At 49.2% G+C, this 16,562-nt stretch overlaps 1 long non-coding RNA gene and 2 pseudogenes across 2 annotated transcripts, besides 4 other annotated features; 2 read left to right on the top strand and 1 right to left on the bottom strand.

Annotated features, from left to right (window-relative positions):
* On the bottom strand, positions 4-4,524 carry ZPLD2P (zona pellucida like domain containing 2, pseudogene; annotated as a pseudogene). The gene is made up of 4 exons (NR_110698.1): positions 4,141-4,524; positions 2,289-2,440; positions 1,848-2,050; positions 4-342 (listed from the first exon to the last, which is right to left on the bottom strand). The product of NR_110698.1 is annotated as a zona pellucida like domain containing 2, pseudogene (transcript).
* Positions 59-227: a silencer, noted in NCBI's record as "fragment chr1:26556108-26556276 (GRCh37/hg19 assembly coordinates)". NCBI's record gives its function as "represses an EF-1alpha promoter that drives an FKBP-Casp9 reporter gene in an ReSE screen in HepG2 liver carcinoma cells {active_cell/tissue: HepG2}" and the evidence as "EXISTENCE:reporter gene assay evidence [ECO:0000049][PMID:32094911]".
* Positions 4,188-4,692: an enhancer, noted in NCBI's record as "H3K27ac-H3K4me1 hESC enhancer chr1:26551643-26552147 (GRCh37/hg19 assembly coordinates)". NCBI's record gives its function as "activates a minimal SCP1, AML or CMV promoter by ChIP-STARR-seq in primed H9 embryonic stem cells {active_cell/tissue: H9 hESC(primed)}" and the evidence as "EXISTENCE:reporter gene assay evidence [ECO:0000049][PMID:30033119]".
* Positions 4,547-5,245, top strand: LOC124903882 (uncharacterized). Its single transcript, XR_007065556.1, has 2 exons — positions 4,547-4,634; positions 4,831-5,245. It is a non-coding gene; the product is annotated as an uncharacterized LOC124903882 (long non-coding RNA).
* Positions 4,622-4,681: an enhancer, noted in NCBI's record as "active region_482". NCBI's record gives its function as "activates an Ori minimal core promoter by ATAC-STARR-seq in GM12878 lymphoblastoid cells {active_cell/tissue: GM12878}" and the evidence as "EXISTENCE:reporter gene assay evidence [ECO:0000049][PMID:35858748]".
* Positions 4,693-5,198: an enhancer, noted in NCBI's record as "H3K27ac-H3K4me1 hESC enhancer chr1:26551137-26551642 (GRCh37/hg19 assembly coordinates)". NCBI's record gives its function as "activates a minimal SCP1, AML or CMV promoter by ChIP-STARR-seq in primed H9 embryonic stem cells {active_cell/tissue: H9 hESC(primed)}" and the evidence as "EXISTENCE:reporter gene assay evidence [ECO:0000049][PMID:30033119]".
* On the top strand, positions 10,310-10,958 carry LOC100420494 (ARF like GTPase 16 pseudogene; annotated as a pseudogene).
* Positions 10,959-16,562: the final 5,604 nt, after the last annotated feature.

The raw sequence follows: 16,562 nt of genomic DNA, 5'->3' as shown, positions 1-16,562 counted from the left end.
TCCTGCAAATGAATTTTTTATTTTTTATTTTTTTTATTTTTATTTATTTATTTTTTTTGAGATGGAGTCTCGCTCTGTCACCCAGGCTGGAGTGCAGTGGCGCGATCTCGGCTCACTGCAACCTCTGCCTCCCGGGTTCATGCCATTCTCCTGTCTCAGCCTCCTGAGTAACTGAGACTACAGGCTCCCGCCACCACGCCCGGCAAATTTTTTGTGTTTTTAGTAGAGACGGGGTTTCACCGTGTTAGCTAGGATGGTCTCGATCTCCTGACTTCATGATCCGCCCGCCTCGGCCTCCCAAAGTGCTGGGATTACAGGTGTGAGCCACCGTGCCCGGCCAACCTGCAAATGAAATATTAAGACTGTTAAATTTAAATTAAATTTAGCTTTTTTTTTTTTTTTTTACAAGGTCTTACTGTCACCCAGGCTGGAGTACAGTGGCAGGAACACAGCTCACTGCAGCCTTGACCTCCTGGGCTCAGGTGATTCTCCCACCTCAGCCTCCCGAGTAGCTGGAACTACAGGTTCCTGGCTAATTTTTAAATTTTTTGTAGAGAAGAAGGTCTCAAGAAGGTCTCACTATGTTGCCCAGACTGCTCTCAAACTCTGGGGCTCAAGCTATCTGGCACACCTTGGCCTCCCAAAGTGTTGGGATTACAGGTGTGAGCCACTGTGCCTGGCCAAATTTAACTTTTTTTTTTTTGAGACAGAGTCTCGCCCTGTCACCCAAGCTGGAGTGCAGTAGCATGATCTCGGCTCACTGCAACCTCTGCCTCCCGGTTCAAGCAATCCTCTTGCCTCAGCCTCCCGCGTAGCTGGGATTACAGGCCCGTGCCACCATGCCTGGCTGGCTAATTTTTGTATTTTTAGTAGAGACGGGGTTTCACCATGCTGGCCAGGCTGGTCTTGAACTCCTGACCTCGTGATTCACCCACCTTGGCCTCCCAAAGTACTGGGATTACAGGCATGAGCCACTGTGCCCAGCCCAAATTTAACTTTTATTGTGTTGCTTGTACTCATGTTTTCCCCCAGGAAATTAATTTCTAAAATAATCATGGATATTAACAAAAAATTGTATTTCAAAAATGAAACATCAAAAGAAGGCACAGGGCCTTCCTGTGTTTTTGTGAAATTCTACCTTATGGGTAGGTCCCACCTCTGCCAACTTATAAACCCTGTCTTGCTTCCTGGTCCTCACTACCTACTCCCCAAACTCAACTGTTTTCTCTGTAAGGTCAAAGACTCTGTCTTTTGTACTGTTGAATCCCCCAGGCCTAATACAGTTAACAAGTGCATAGCAGATTCCAACCTGTTTTTGAATAAAGGAATGATATTCACACAAACACTGCTGCCATATCCACCCTCTACTAGGAAGGGGGAGCTAATGAGGTCAGAAATAATTAAGGGGCAGGAGAAGGAGGCTTGGATAATAGTGTGTGTATACATTTATCCTCATTCTGAAATTGAATAGTTCGTGCCCATTTTGCAGAAAAAAAGAAAGGAGACTTAGGGCCAGCTGGCCAAGGCCCAGGAACTTTCCCTGGAATGAGAGTCATAGAGTCTCCATGTTGAAGCAGAGATCATCAGTTCAAACTCTCATTTTACATATGGAGAGATAGAGGATAAAGTGACTTCTCCCTGCCATCCCCAACCCCCTCAATATAAGATCTGGATTACACAGAAAGGAGTCAGACAAAGTAGAATTCCCGGCTGTTTATTAGCCATACCCTCTGCACCTCCCCATACCATACTAAGTAACTCAATCTCCCCCTAGAAGAGTTCCAGAGATAGGAAGCAAAGGTGGGATGAGGAAGCAGAGCCCAAGGCTGATCAGCCACACTCCTTACCAGATGTTGGTTTCATCTGCACCCCCAACCTCTCTGGTCCGTAACAATAAAACGGACTACTTGCTTTCCCTAAATCTTCCTCCACTCTACCCTTGCCTCAGGCGAGTAAACTAGAGGCCAAGGACTAGGGTTGGAGGAGGTATCAGGCTTCTATCCCAGCATCCAGCTTATTGCTATCAGAAGAAAGATGGCCATCCAGGCTCCTGCAGGAAAGAAAGAAATGATTATAAAACAGAATTAAGTGGCATTGAGAGCAGGGGAAAGTTTTTAGGCTTAGATATTCCCCTTTAGGGAATTATTTAGAAATCCATTCATTCATTCAACAAGCTTTCTTGGGACTGACTGTGTGTAAGTTAAATTGGGGGTGGGGAGGATGGGGATGAAAGGCACTGTCTAGTTCAGTGTGGACCCTACTCAGCCACCTTCACCTGTCCTTGTTACCTGTCTGGCTCTGTATCTTGAATTTTCTTTTTTCTTTTAGAGACAGGGTCTCACTCTGTCTCCCAGGCTGGAGTGTGGTGGCGCCATCATAGTTCACTGCACCCTCAAACTCCTGGTCTCAAGCGATCCTTCTGCCTCAGCCTCTCAAGTAGCTAGGATTACAAGCATGTGCCATGATGCCCAGCTAATTTTTAAATTTTTTATAGAGACAGCATCTTGCTGTGTTGTCCAGGCTGGTGTCAAACTCCTGGCCCCAACCACTCCTCCCACTTTGGTCTCGCAAAATGCTGGGATTACAAGTGTGAGCCACTGCCTGGCCTGTATCTTGAATTTTCACCTCCTACCTGCTTGCCCCTGTATCTTGAATTTTCAATCATTTCTGGATAGACTCAGGTTCTGATGAAGGATAAACCACCAGCCCCACAATGACAAGTGCCATGTACTGTTGAGACCCAAGAAGCTGAGACTCAAATAAGTTAACTGCCGGGCATGATGGCTCACACCTATAATCCCAGCATTTTGGGAGGCTGAGGCAGGCAGATCGTCTGGGGTCAGGAGTTCGAGACCAGCCAGGCCAACATGGTGAAACCCTCCCTCTACTAAAGTACAAAAATTAGCTGGGCATGGTGGTGCGTGCCTGTAATCCCAGATACTCGGGAGGCTGAGGCAGGAGAATGGCTTGAACCCGGGGGGCAGAGGTTGCAGTGAGCTGAGATCACGCCACTGCACTCCAGCCTGGGCATCAGAGTGAGACTCTGTCTCAAAAAAAAAAAAAAAAAAAAGAAAGAAAAAAAAAAAGGTTAACTGACTTCTCTCAGCTCGTATAGAGTGGAGCAGAAACAAAATCCAAAACCAGCACCTGCCAAGACCCAGCAGCGTGTATCCTCAGACCCTGGTGCAACCATCAGAACTTCATCACAGCAATATCTTTGTACCAACCTGCCGAGCTTCTGCTGCTGGAGGCATTGGACTATGAAACCACATAGAAAGAGAGATCAAGCTTAAGGTGCCATTCTGGCAGGACAAGGCTAGCATTCTCCCATTATTTTATCAAGACTGGGCAAAGGGCTTGGTCTCTTTGAAACTGAGATTCAGAAGGGTGTGATGATGGACCTCCTGCCTCTAATAAGAATGGACTTAGTAGAAGATGGGCTTTCCCAAGAGGGTTGGAGTTTTTGTTTTGTTTTGTTTTGTTTGTTTTTGCTTTTTGAGACGGAGTCTTGCTCTGTCGCCCAGGCTGGAGTGCAGTGGCAAGATCTTGGCTCATTGCAAGCTCCGCCTCCCGGGTTCACGCCATTCTCCTGCCTCAGCCTCCCGAGTACCTGGGACTACAGGGGCCCGCCCCCACGCCCGGCTAATTTTTTTTTTTTCCTGTATTTTTAGTAGAGATAGTGTTTCACCTTGTTAGCCAGGATGGTCTCGATCTCCTGACCTTATGATCCGCCCACCTCGGCCTTCCAAAGTGCTGGGATTACAGGCGTGAGCCACCGCGCCCGGCGAGGGTTGGGGTTTTGAAGGACCATTATGGAATAGAAAGAAGGGAGAGACTGTTTCTAGATCATTAAGGAAGATTTACCAAAAAAGTTTGGCACGAGGGACAGCCTGGGAGAAGAGTGATCTGGTGTGACAGGAAAGGTGAGAATGGAAGGAGACAGGCAGAGAAGGCTCAGACTTGAAGTTGACTGAGTGAGACCGGTGAGGAGAGCAGAGGGGAAGCCGAGGAGGACATGGGCTTGGGGAGGAGACTTGCATTTAGGGAAGAGTGGAGGGCATGAAGGAAGGAGGGGACAGAGCAGGTCGGTAGGAGGCTCTGGAAGAGGAGTCAGGGAGGCCCCAGAAATGATCCATTTACCGCTTATTCGGATGGGCCCGAATGCTATCCAGCTGCCGCCGCGCTCCAGGCCCTCCCGCGTTCGGATCTCCCAGGAGCGATCCCTCCCAGGCGAGTTCTTCTGACTACAAGCTTGTGGGCAACGCAAGCACAAGGGTAGCGAAGCCGGCCAGGCGAGGACTTTGCCCAAGACCCCAGGGTAGCCCCACCTCCCTCCCCGCCCCAAGTGAGTTCACCATCCACAAGACCTAGGTCTTCAAAATCCCGCCCAGTCTTCCACAAGCCCCGCCCCCGGTAGGACTGGCCAGTCCCCAGCACCGCAGTCCCCCAGGTCCCGCATCAGCACCGCTTCCGTGAAGACGGCGCAGCTGGGAGTCCGGCTACCCAGCCTGCCCGGCAGGAACTGCTTTGCAGGCAAGGCTGCGGCGGCTGCGCAGGAGGTCCCGGGGCTGCCCACTCACTGGTTGGCATGGGCGTCTTGCCCGCGTGTCACACAGGGTCACTCGGCCGTGCAGGTACAGTGTATCGCTGGTCGAGAAGCGGATCAGGTTGAAGGCCAAGGTCACCTCCAGAGAGGCCCCGTTGGCCCGCAGGCCCTGGAGCAGCCGGTTGCTGACGGGGCAGCTGTGGGGAGAGGCAGCGTCAGGGGCCCGCGGTGCCGATGGATGAACACCGAGCACCGTTGCCCACTTTTTACGTTTGCTTGTATAGGTGCAGATGCTGGTTTCATGCTGAGAACTTTACATGGATTGTTTCATTTCATCCTCACCGAACCCGTGAAGAAGACAATACTTTTGCCCCCCACCACCCCTTTTTTAAAGATGAGGAAACTGAGGCTCAAACTGAGGTTCAAAGAGCGTTGCCCAAGGTTCTGCAGGGAGCAGCCTGGCCCCAGCGCCCGCCCACACCCTTAATCACTGGGTTCTATATCCTCCTGACAAGGGAGGAATGACAGGCGAGGACAGGTTTGGCCGTGGTGTGTTTCAGAGCCTGGACTCTGGAGACTGATGGTGTGTCCTGGTTGAAGTCCCCTAAACTCAGAGTCTTCTCTTGTTCTGTCAGCTGTACAGTGGGGGAAATAATACTTCATAGGGTTGTTTGGAGGAATAAATAAGGTAATAAATGATTCCCTGTGCTCTGTGAAGCCTTGTTACTAAAATATGACCTAGAAGTCAGGAGACCCAACTCCTTCCCAAGAACGTTGAGGACGAACTTGAATTTACTGTCTCTGTGTTCCCAACACTTAGCAAGATCTGCAACTTATTGTGTGAACTGAGCCTCAGTTTCTCTATAAAGTGGGAATGAAAATATAACTATCTCGGCCGGGCGCGGTGGCTCACGCCTGTAATCCCAGCACTTTGGGAGGCTGAGGCGGGTGGATCACCTGAGGTCAAAAGTTTGAGACCAGCCTGGCCAATATGGTGAAACCCCATATCTACTAAAAATACAAAAATTAGCCAGGTGTGATGGCCGGTGCCTGTAGTCCCAGCTACTCCGGAGGCTGAGACAGGAGAATTGCTTGAACCTGGGAGGCAGAGGTGGCAGTGAGCCGAGATCGTGCCACTTCACTCCAGCCTGGGTGACAGAGCGAGACTCCATCTCAAAAAAAAGAAGAAAAGAAAATATAACTATCTCATAGAGTGTGTTGTGAGGCTTAAATGAGTTAATATATGTGAAGTGATTCAAACTGTGTCTGGCATAGAGTCAATGCTATGTCAGTATTAGATATTATTAGCTACTAAATATAATGAATGTCCAATATATAGCATATATATAGCACTCTGAAATGTTGTGTCTTTGTTTTTTAGTTTTATCATTGTAGGCCCTCAGTAATTGAGCAAAGAATAAAAGAAATGCATGTTATTTGTTGGCTGCAAGATCTTGGGCAGGCTTTAATCTCTGAGCCTTAATTTACTTATCTTCAAAATGGGAATGAGAGCATTATTCAAGAAACATTCACCCAGCACTTACTTTCTTCCAGTGTTTGCATGCCAGGGATACCAAGAAGAGTGACAGAATCTGTGCTCGAGGGTATAAAAGCACACAGCACAAGCCAAATCCAGGGGCTGGTCTGGCACTCACAGGAGGTTACCAGGCCTGACTGACCCTTGCCTCTTGTTCACAAAGTGGTAGGTGGCCTTAACAGCACCTGTCCTGGAGATGTTGGTGCTGGCAAAGACCTCACTGACCACCAGGGCAAATCACTGCTTATTGTCTTGAGGACTACGTAGAAGGGCATGCCAAGAGGAACAGTTCTGTTTTCAAGCAGAGTTAAGAGCTGAAGGTCTGTGAAGATGCCCAAGATGATGATGGTGTCCCCAGTGCCCAGAACATGGATGGTGCTATATCTGGAGAGGGACAGGAGTGAAACCCTCATCATGAAATCCCAGAGGGAGAGACATTCACCCACACCTTCTGCATCCGCAAGGTCACTGAGCACTGGTAACCATAGAGAATAAAGGGCGGACGGAACAAACCTGCTTACCTTCTTCCTGGTCTGCCTAAAAAGTGAGGTGCCACCTCATAGATCCCCAGACCTAGGACCCTTGAAGCTATCCACAGTAATTTACATAAACAACTTGTATGTATTCCTTCATAGAAGCATCTTTTTTTTTTTTTTAATTGAGACAGGGTCTCACTCTGTTGCCTGTCCTGGAGGGCAGTGGCATGATTATGGCTCACTGCAGCCTCCACCCCCCAGGCTCAAACAATCCCTCCACCTCAGCCTCCCAAGTAGCTGAGACTATAAGCACACACCATCAAGCCCAGCCTGAAGCATCTCTTTTCTTCCACTAATGCTTTGAATTTCCATCTAAGAGGTGCCTCTGTTTGAGCATAGGGGAGCAACATCCTGAGGGTGCTAACTCTTGTGCTTGGATTAGAGGTAGAGAGGTAGAGAACTCAGTAGGCTCCCACGGCCCAACCAGAGTGGAAGCTGATGAGGCAGAACTTACGGGAAGGAGAATACCTGGTAGGGGTGGGTCTGGCTGACATTCACCACCAGGGTATACGTGCAGCTGAAGCTGAGCATTGTGGAGTCATTGCTGATGAAGCCAGGGAGAACCTGCAGAAGCTGCACCTCCAGAGAGTACAGGGCGTGGCTGCTGTTGGTCTAGAGAGGACAAGAAGACTGCCATTACTCTCAGATCTCCAGAGAAGATGCCTTCTCCCACCCTCATTTGCTGCAAATTGTTTACTTATTTTATTTTATTTATTTTTTTAAGACAGTCTTGCTGTGTTGCCCAGGCTGGAGTGCAGTGGCACGATCTCGGCTCACTGCAACCTCCGCCTCCCCGGTTCAAGTGATTCCCGGCTGCAAGTTGTTTATTTAAATAAAAGTGATTGCTGGGCGTGGTGGCTGTAATCCCAGCACTTTGGGAGGCCGAGGCATGTGGATTGCTTGAGATCAGGAGTTCCAGACCAGTCTGGCCAATATGATGAAACCCCGTCTCTACTAAAAATACAAAAAATTAGCTGGTCATGGTGGCAGGCACCTATAATCCCAGCTATTCGGGAGGCTGAGGCAGGAGGATCACTTCAACCTGGGAGGCAGGGGTTGGAGTGAGCAGAGATCGTGCCACTGCACTCCAGCCTGGGTGACTGAGCAAGACTCTGTCTCAAAAAAAAGAAAAAAGAAAAAAAAAAGTGGTAGCTGAAGTTTACTGAGCATGGGCTGTATTCCAGGCACTGTGGCTTAACCACAATTCTCTGAGGGGAGTTATCCCATTTTACAGAAGATCAAACAGGCTTAGAAAGGTTAAAAGTCTTATCCGGGCTGGGCACTGTGGCTCACGCCTGTAATCCCAGCACTTTGGGATGCCGAGGAGGGTGGATCACCTGAGGTCAGGAGTTAGACACCAGACTGACCAACATGGAGAAACCCCGTCTCTACTGAAAATACAAAATTACCTGGGCTTGGTGGTGCATGCCTGTTATCCCAGCTACTTGGGAGGTTGAGGCAGGAGGATCGCTTGAACCTGGGAGGTGGAGGTTGCGGTGAGCAGAGATCACGCCATTGCACTTCAGCCTGGGCAACAAGAGCGAAACTCCATTATCAAAAAAAAAAAAAAAGTCTTATCCAAAGCAAGTTCTGGAGCCAGAATTCTCTGTTTCCAGGGCTTGTATGTTTGTGGTTTGTTTTGTTTTGTTTTGTTTTTGTTTTGTTTTTTTGAGACAAGTTCTCGCTCTGTCGCCCAAGCTGGAGTGCAGTGATGTGATCTTGGCTCACTACAACCTTCACCTCCAGAGTTCAAGTGATTCTTGTGCCTCAGCCTCCTGAGTAGCTGGGATTACAGGGGCACGCCACCATGCCCTGGTAATGTTAGTATTTTTAGTAGAGATGGGGTTTTGTCATGCTGGCAAGGCTGGTCTCAAACTCCTGACCTCAAGAGATCAGCCTACTTTGGCCTCCCAAAGTGCTGGGATTACCGGCATGAGCCACCACACCAGGCCTCTGATTCCAAGGTTCATGTTCTTAACCTCTGGGCCAGTGGTTCTCAAGTTTCAATGTGCATTTTAGAATCCCTTGGGAAAAATAAAAGAATCACTGGAGTGCTTATTAAAATGCCAAGTCCTGGTCTCTATCCCAAGATTTGAATATCTTTTCAGATTTTGTTTATATAGGTTTTTGTTTGTTCGTTTGTTTGTTCTTAGAGACAGGGTCTCCCTATGCAGCCTAGGCTAGATTTGAACTCCTGGCCTCAAGCTATCCTCCTGCCTCAGCTTACAGGGTAGCTGGGATTACAGGTGTGCACCATCATTCCCAGCTTATCTAGGTTTTTTGTTTGTTTATTTGTTTGTTTTAAGAATCAAAATGGCCCACAGTAGGCGTCCGCCCCGCAGGTGGAGTTGAGTAGGGCCAGCTCTGCGCTTGGCGAAGAGCTCGGGCTCCTCTAAGTTCACGTCGAGGCGCAGAGGGTCAGGTCTTGACTTAAGGCCAGCCTTCAGGAGCCAGGGACAGCCTGAGCTGAGGATACCTGGCGTGGGATGTGGGGGCCTGCCGCCCTCCACAGGCATTTCCTCTCCCCTCGCAACGGGTTCCTGTGGCTGGTCGCCCCCACAGCAAGTCTAACTACTGATGGGCGTCGGTCCCTGCTCGCCATTCCTGCCTTAGGGACTGAGCCCTTGGAGAATGGCTCTGCGGGGTTCAGGCCACCGTGTAAGGTGTGGGCACGGTGCTCTTCAGGAGTTCACAACGGGACAGAGCTTGTATTGTTCTCCTTGCATCGTGGTTTTTCCTATAGGTGGAAATCTTACTGACATCGTGGCACACAGAAAGATCACCATCCGGGAGCTGGCGGGGGTGGTGCATGGGCCCCATCTGGTCCAGTTACTATGGAAACTGTCATTCTCTCCTGGTAGGTTGTAATCCTATATGGGCTTCCTTTAGGGAAGTGTGTCTACATTTCTGTAATGTCCAGTCCCCAACCTTGCTGTGTGTAGAACGGCATTTTGGTTATTTAGTGACTATACTAGTCATGGAAACAGGTCCTACGCTAGTGTTGCTTCCTGCTGGGCACCCCATCTGGTTTCTGGTGCTTGCGCTCCCAGGCCCACGGTAGGAGCTCACACAGGGCTTGCTGAGGGCAGGGCTGCTGCTCCGCAGAGAACAGACTTAGCTCTCTGTGTTGCTCCCTGGTACGTCTGTGTTTATGTTGGATTTACACGTGCCTCTGGTTGGTCCCATCTTGACAAGACCTGTGCCCCAGATTCCAGTATGGAGAACTGATGGCCACATGAGGACAGAGACGAGTGACACCGGGTCGTCCTCATAAAACTCGATTCCCTCTGCTTCTGCCTGTTCCCAAAGCTTTGTTTAAAGCTGTTTTGGGCTGGGTGTGGTGGCTTACTCCTGTAATCCCAACACTTTGGGAGGCCGAGGTGGGCGAATCACGAGGTCAGGAGATGGAGACCATCCTGGCTAACATGGTGAAACCCCGTCTCTACTAAAAGCACAAAAAATTAGCCGGGCGTGGTGGTGGGCATCTGTAGTCCCACTTACTCGGGAGGCTGAGGCAGGAGGATCACTTGAACCCGGGAGGCGGAGGTTGCAGTGAGCCGAGATTGTGCCGCTGCACTTGGAGTGAGACTCCGCCTCAAAAAAAAAAATGCAGTTTTGCTCTCCCAGTGCCAGGTCAGTGAGGCCCAGGGGAGGAAGTTTGGCAGCAGGGCGTTGCTGCCATCTTTTTCTTTTTCCCCAGTTCATGATGGACGCCTCTGACCCCACCCAGCTCTCTGCATCCTGTGTGCAGCTCTTAGGTCTCCTTTCTTCAGAACAATTTGCAGAAGCATTGGTGCTGATACTACTTTTCAATAAAATGTATGTGTCTCTGAGCTGAGAGGGAGCACAGCAGGGGCGGGGGATCCCTGGGAGTACAGCTAGGAGCATGGCTTGGTAGGGAGGTGGTGTGGCTGGGGATCCGGGGCAGGTGTGTGGCAGCCACTACTCTGATGCGGCACTTCTTTGACTCCAGCGACCTACCCTGTTACATGTCCACGGAGGAGATGAAGTTATTAATCAGGCTTCCAGACATCATTGCTTGTGCCAAGCAGAATATCATCACGGCAGAAATCAGCGCCCGTGAAGGCACTGGCTTGGCAGGGGTGCTGGCCTGGCTCCAGGCCACCCACAAAGCCAACGGTTGACTGCATGGCAGAGGCGTGGCTGGCCTGCGCTGGGGAGAGGTGGCAGAGGGCAGTATGGCTTTGCTGCCAATAGTTTCTTCTCACAGGGGCAGAATAACCCAAAGTAACCCTACATGATGGGGCTCTGTGCTGAGATGCAATGATGGGTAAACTGAGGCATGCAGAGATGGAAGTTGACATCTGGCCTCTGAAAAAACTGTCCCCAGGGGCCAGGCACGGTGGCTCACGCCTGTAATCCCAGCACTTTGGGAGGTCGAGGCGGGTGGATCCCCTGAGGTCAGGAGTTTGAGACCAGCCTGACCAACATGGAGATACCATGTCTCTACTAAAAATACAAAATTAGCTGGGCATGGTAGCACATGCCTGTAATCCCAGCTACTCGAGAAGCTGAGGCAGGAGAACCCCTTGAACCCAGGAGGCGGAGGTTGCAGTGAGCCAAGATCACGCCATTGCACTCCACCTGGGCAACAAGAGCGAAACTCCATCTTAAAAAAAATAAAAACCTGTCTCCCCCCTCCCCCCAACCCCAAAAAAAAGGACCGGGTATGGTGGCTCATGCCTGTAATCCCAACACTTTGGCAGGCTGAGGTGGGTGGGTCACTTTAGGTCAGGAGTTCGAGACCAGCCTGGCCAACATGGTGAAGCCTCGTCTCTACTAAAAATACAAAAATTGAGCCAGGCACGGTGGCACGTGCCTGTAATTCCAGTTATTTCAGAGGCTGAGGCATGAGAATCACTTGAACCCAGGAGGCAGACGTTGCAGTAAGCAGAGATCATGCCACTGTGCTCCAGCCTGGGCAACAGAGCAAGACTCTGTCTCAAAAAAAAATATTTGTTTTGTTACTATAAATAAAGCAGTGTATGAAAAAGAACACTGAGAGGGTGGGTGCAGTGGCTCATGCCTGTAATCTCAGCACTTTGAGAGGCCGAGGCGGGTGGATCATGAGGTCAGGTGTTCGAGACCAGCCTGGCCAACATACTGAAACCCTGTCTCTACTAAAAATCAAATATTAGCTGGGCGTGGTGGCAGGCACCTGTAATCCCAGCTACCTGGGAGGCTGAGGCGGGAGAATCACTTGAACCTGGGAAGCGAAGGTTGCAGTGAGCCGAGATCATGCCATTGCACTCCTGTCCAGGCAACAGTGCGAGACTCTGTTTAAAAAAAAACAAAAACAAACAAAAAAACAAAACAAAACACTGAGAGAGTTCTGGGAGCCTAGCCATGGACTTAGCCATTCCATGTTGAAACTGCCGATTCTATTCCATAAGCTAAACAAGAGACCCCATGAATCCCTGGGTGGCAGAACCAGAGACAAAGGCAGACAACTGGGAGGAACTAAACCATCTAAACCATCTTTTTTTTTTTTTTTTTTTGAGATGGAGTCTCCCTCTGTCACCCAGGCTGGAGTGCAATGGCATGGTCTCGGCTCACTGCAACTTCCGCCTCCCGGGTTCAAGCAATTCTCCTGCCTCAGCCTCCTGAGTAGCTGGGACTACAGGTGCCTGCCACCACCCCCGGCTAATTTTTGTATTTTTAGTGGAGACAGTGTTTCACCATATTGGCCAGGCTGGTCTTGAACTCCTGACTTCATTATCTGTCCGCCTTGGCCTCCCAAAGTGCTGGGATTACAGGTGTGAGCCAGTGCGCCCGGCCTAAACCATGTCTTTAGGACAAACTCTGATTGTTAAACTGAGCCTGGGGAGCCCCGGCACCCCCTTGAAGGGATGTGAAAGCCAGTCTATGTGTTGAGGGGAACTGACCTGGCAGGGCACTCTCCCCCATTCAGTCAGAACTGCTCTACTTCTACGTATTTATTTTTATATTTGGCTTTTATGTAAGACCCCTCCCAAAGAAAGGAGGTGGCAGCATCAGTGAGCAGTGAGGAGCACAAACCACTCTGTAATAGCTAGCCGTGTGATTTGGGAAAATCCCTCAACATGACTGGGCCTTCCACTGTAGCAGGACAAGCTGCAGACAAAACTTCTTAGACACCGGATTAAAGAAGGAAGAGGTTTTTATTCGGCCGGGAGCATCGGCAGATTCACGTCTTAAGAGCCAAGCTCTCCGAAAGAGAAATTATTTTTAAGGGCTTACAACTTTAATGGGTCTACGTAAAACGGTCATGATAGATCAAGTAAGTGTGAGAACCTGACTGGGGGCTACATACATCAGCTAACAGAACAAAAAGTTTTACAGTGCTTTCTTATGCAATGTCTGGAATTTACAGATAACACCAGTAGTTTTGGTGAGGGGTTATTATTATTATTATAACTACCAGGGCCAGGTGGTGGCACCAAGGTCGTCTAGCTATTTATCTTACTTCTGCTTCTTTCTTACTTTTTGCTTTCTCTTTTTTCTCCTGTCTTATAAACTAGGGAAAAGGGGAGGTGGGGGAGAAGCTGGGAAGGACAACAGGAGAAGTGGTGGTCTCATTCCATACCACTACTATCTTTCAAATGGGAACCTCACAGGATTACTGTGAAAATTTAGTGAGATAATGCCTGTAAAAAAGTATTTGACCATGACACATGGCACATGGTAAGAAATTAATAAATATTGATTGTGGCTGTGATTGTTATTATTTTAGAGGGTTCCATGGCTGACAACAGTTTGGAAGCCAATAGCTCAATCCATCAAACATGGTATCACCCACAAAGGTGTTCCCAGTCTGAAGGGGGACAACACAGTCTTTTCTCTCAAAAAGACTGGTCCTGATGGCTGGGATTTGACTCCATTCCAGAGAATTTCTTAGTCAAATGGAAATAAAGTCATGACTGGTGGCCAATCACTCCTTTCCCGGTCCCTCCCACCATCAGGTGACCTCTCCCAGTTTGCTTACAGAGAGGCGAAGTCCACAGGTACCCTCCTTCTTCTCTAACAGGAAGACCTGGACACGGAGACCCTGTTCTATCTTGCTGATGCTGGAGCATCCTGAGAAGGCATCTTTCATCAGCATCCAGCGGCGAGTCTGCAGGATGCAGCTGCTCAGGACCACCTCGATTTTCTGCGGCCAGCAGTGTAGGCTCACCGACACCCTGGACAGTTCTGTAGGAGGACAAGAGCCAGGGCAGGAGCCTCCTGAGGCTCCTGGGATGATGCCACGGGAGGAGATTCGAGTTCTAATGTTGGGGGAGGAGACATTGTTGGGATATTAGCCCAATTCGCAAACACTTCCTTAAACAAGGACTCTCCGCCGGGTGTGGGAGCTCACGTCTGTAATCCCAGCACTCTGGGAAGCTGAGGCAGGCAGATCACCTGAGGTCAGGAGTTTGAGACCAGCCTGGCCAACATGGTGAAACCTGGTGTTTACTACAAACACAAAACTTAGCCGGACGCAGTGGCACATGACTGTAGTCCCAGCTACTCTGGAGGCTGAGGGTGGAGAATCTCTTGAACCCAGAGGCGGAGGTTGCAGTGAGCTGAGCTTGTGCCACTGCACTCCAGCCTGGGCGACAAAGCAAGACTCTGTCTAAAAAAAAACAAGGACTCTCCCTCACAGCCATAGTTGTTGCCCTGTGGGACCCTGGCCCCTGGCCTTAGCTGATCCACTCAGAATCTCTTTCCCAGAAATTAGGAACTGGGCCTCAAAGGAGGCAGCATAAAGCTTGAGAGGTGAGGTGGTCGTCTTCTGTCATGTGGGCTGGGAGGTGGGAGGGACAGAGTGGGTGCAGGTGTGGAATGGGAGGAGCAAGACTGAGTGGAGAGAGAAGCAGCCCCCTGGTTCCCACTACATTCCCAGATCCAGTTCCAGTCCTTGGAGAACCTGGCTGGAGCCTGCCCTTGGCCTCCGTGAGACACTGTTTTTCTTTAGCCCACTTGGTTTCTGTTACTTGTCTGGCAAGATTATTTTTTGAGATATTAATTTGTTAAGTTCTCTGTGATTTTCCTCCTATTCCAATCTGGAAGCCAGGCCTTGTAGTTTTTTCGAGGGGCCTAGACTGCTTGGAGTCAATGACTCTTTCAGTCTGGAGAAGTCTAAACTCATGGAAGAGAGCCCTGAGGGAAGGATGGGGGTGCTTGAGAACCTGGAGGGAGGGGCTTCAGAGTCTGCAGGTCCAGTTTCATGAGCCAACAAAGTTTGTTTTATTTTGTTTCATGTTTTCTTTTTCTTTTCTTTTTTTTTTTTTTTTTTTTTTTGGAGATGGATCTCACTCTGTCGCCCAAGCTGGAGTGTAATCTTGGCTCACTGCAATATCCACCTCCTGGGCTCAAGTGATCCTCCCACCTCAGCCTCCTGAGTAGCTGGGACTACAGGCATGCCACCATGCCTGGCTAATTTTTGTATTTTTTGTAGAGATGGGGTTTCGCCATGTTACTCAGGCTGGTCTCAAATTCCTGGACTCAAGCAATCCACCCACCTTGGCCTCCCAAAGTGCTGGGATTACAGGCGTGAGACACTGCGCCTGGCCTCATGTTTTCCTTTTTTTTTTTTTTTTTTTTTTTTTTTGAGTAAGGGTCTCTCTCTGTCACCCAGGCTGAAATGCAGTGGCATACTCTTGGCTCACTACAGCCTGAAAGTCCTAGGCTCAAGTGATCCTCCCACCTGCTTCCAAGTAGTTGGGACTACAGGTGCATGCCATCACACTGGCTCATTTCAATATTTTTGGTAGAGACAGGGTCTCCCTATGTTGGCTAGGCTCATGTTTTCAATTTTTAAAAAACATTTATGTATTTTACTCAAGCCAATTAGAGTTGGGTTTCTGCTACTTGCAACACAAAGTATCCTAACTGATACATGCCAAATACCAGTGCTATTTGAGTGATGAATGAGAAGCTAATACTTAACCTTCCCTTCTTTTTGCATCTGCTCTCTTCATACTTTCTATTGAATTTTGAATGAACTGCTTAAAAGTTAGTAATTTAAAAGTAAAGTTATGGCCGGGCGCGGTGGCTCACGCTTGTAATCCCAGTACTTTGGGAGGCCGAGGCAGGTGGATCACGAGGTCAGGAGATCGACACCACGGTGAAACCCCGTCTCTACTAAAAATACAAAAAATTAGCCGGGAGTGGTGGTGGGCGCCTGTAGTCCCAGCTACTCAGAGAGGCTGAGGCAGGAGAATGGCGTGAACCCGGGAGGCAGAGCTTGCAGTGAGCCGAGATTGCACCACTGCACTCCAGCCAGGGCGACAGAGCAAGACTCCGTCTTAAAAAAAAAAAAAAAAAAAAAAAAAAAAGTTAACTTTGGGAGCCCAAGGCGGGAGGATCGCTTGCATCCAGGCATTGAAGAGCAGGCTAGGCAACATGGGGAGATTCCCTTTCTACCAAAAAAAAAAAAAAAAAAATTAAAATTAGCCAGGCATGGTGGCATGTGCCTATAGTCCCATTTACTCAGAAGGCTGAAGTGGCAGGATCGCTTGAGCCCCTGAGGTCGAGACTGCAGTGAGCTGTGATTGTGCCACTGCTCTCCAGCCTGGGCCACAGAGCAAGACCCTGTCTCAAAAAAAAAAAAAAAAAAAAAAAATGGAAAACTGGCTGGACACAGTGGCTCATGCCTGTAATCCCAGCACTTTGGAAGGCCGAGGCAGAAGGATTGCTTAAGGCCAGGAATTTGACACCAGCCTGGGCAATAGCAAGAGCCTTGTCCCTACAAAAAAGAAAAAGAAAAGTAGCCAGGTGTAGTCCCCGCTACTGGAGAGGCTGAGGCAGGAGGACCACTTGAGCCCAGTAGTTTGAGGCTGCAGTGAGCTATAATTATGCCACTATACTCCAGTCTAAGTGACAGAGTGAGATCCTGTCCTAAAAATAATAAAATAATAATAATAATGGTAAAAAGTAAAACATAATGGAAATACCAATG

The sequence above is a fragment of the Homo sapiens genome, chromosome 1, assembly GCF_000001405.40.
Source record: "Homo sapiens chromosome 1, GRCh38.p14 Primary Assembly".
Taxonomy (NCBI): Eukaryota; Metazoa; Chordata; class Mammalia; order Primates; family Hominidae; genus Homo; species Homo sapiens.
The sequence above is the reverse complement of the archived record's forward strand: the minus strand, read 5'-3'. Positions and strand labels throughout refer to the sequence as shown.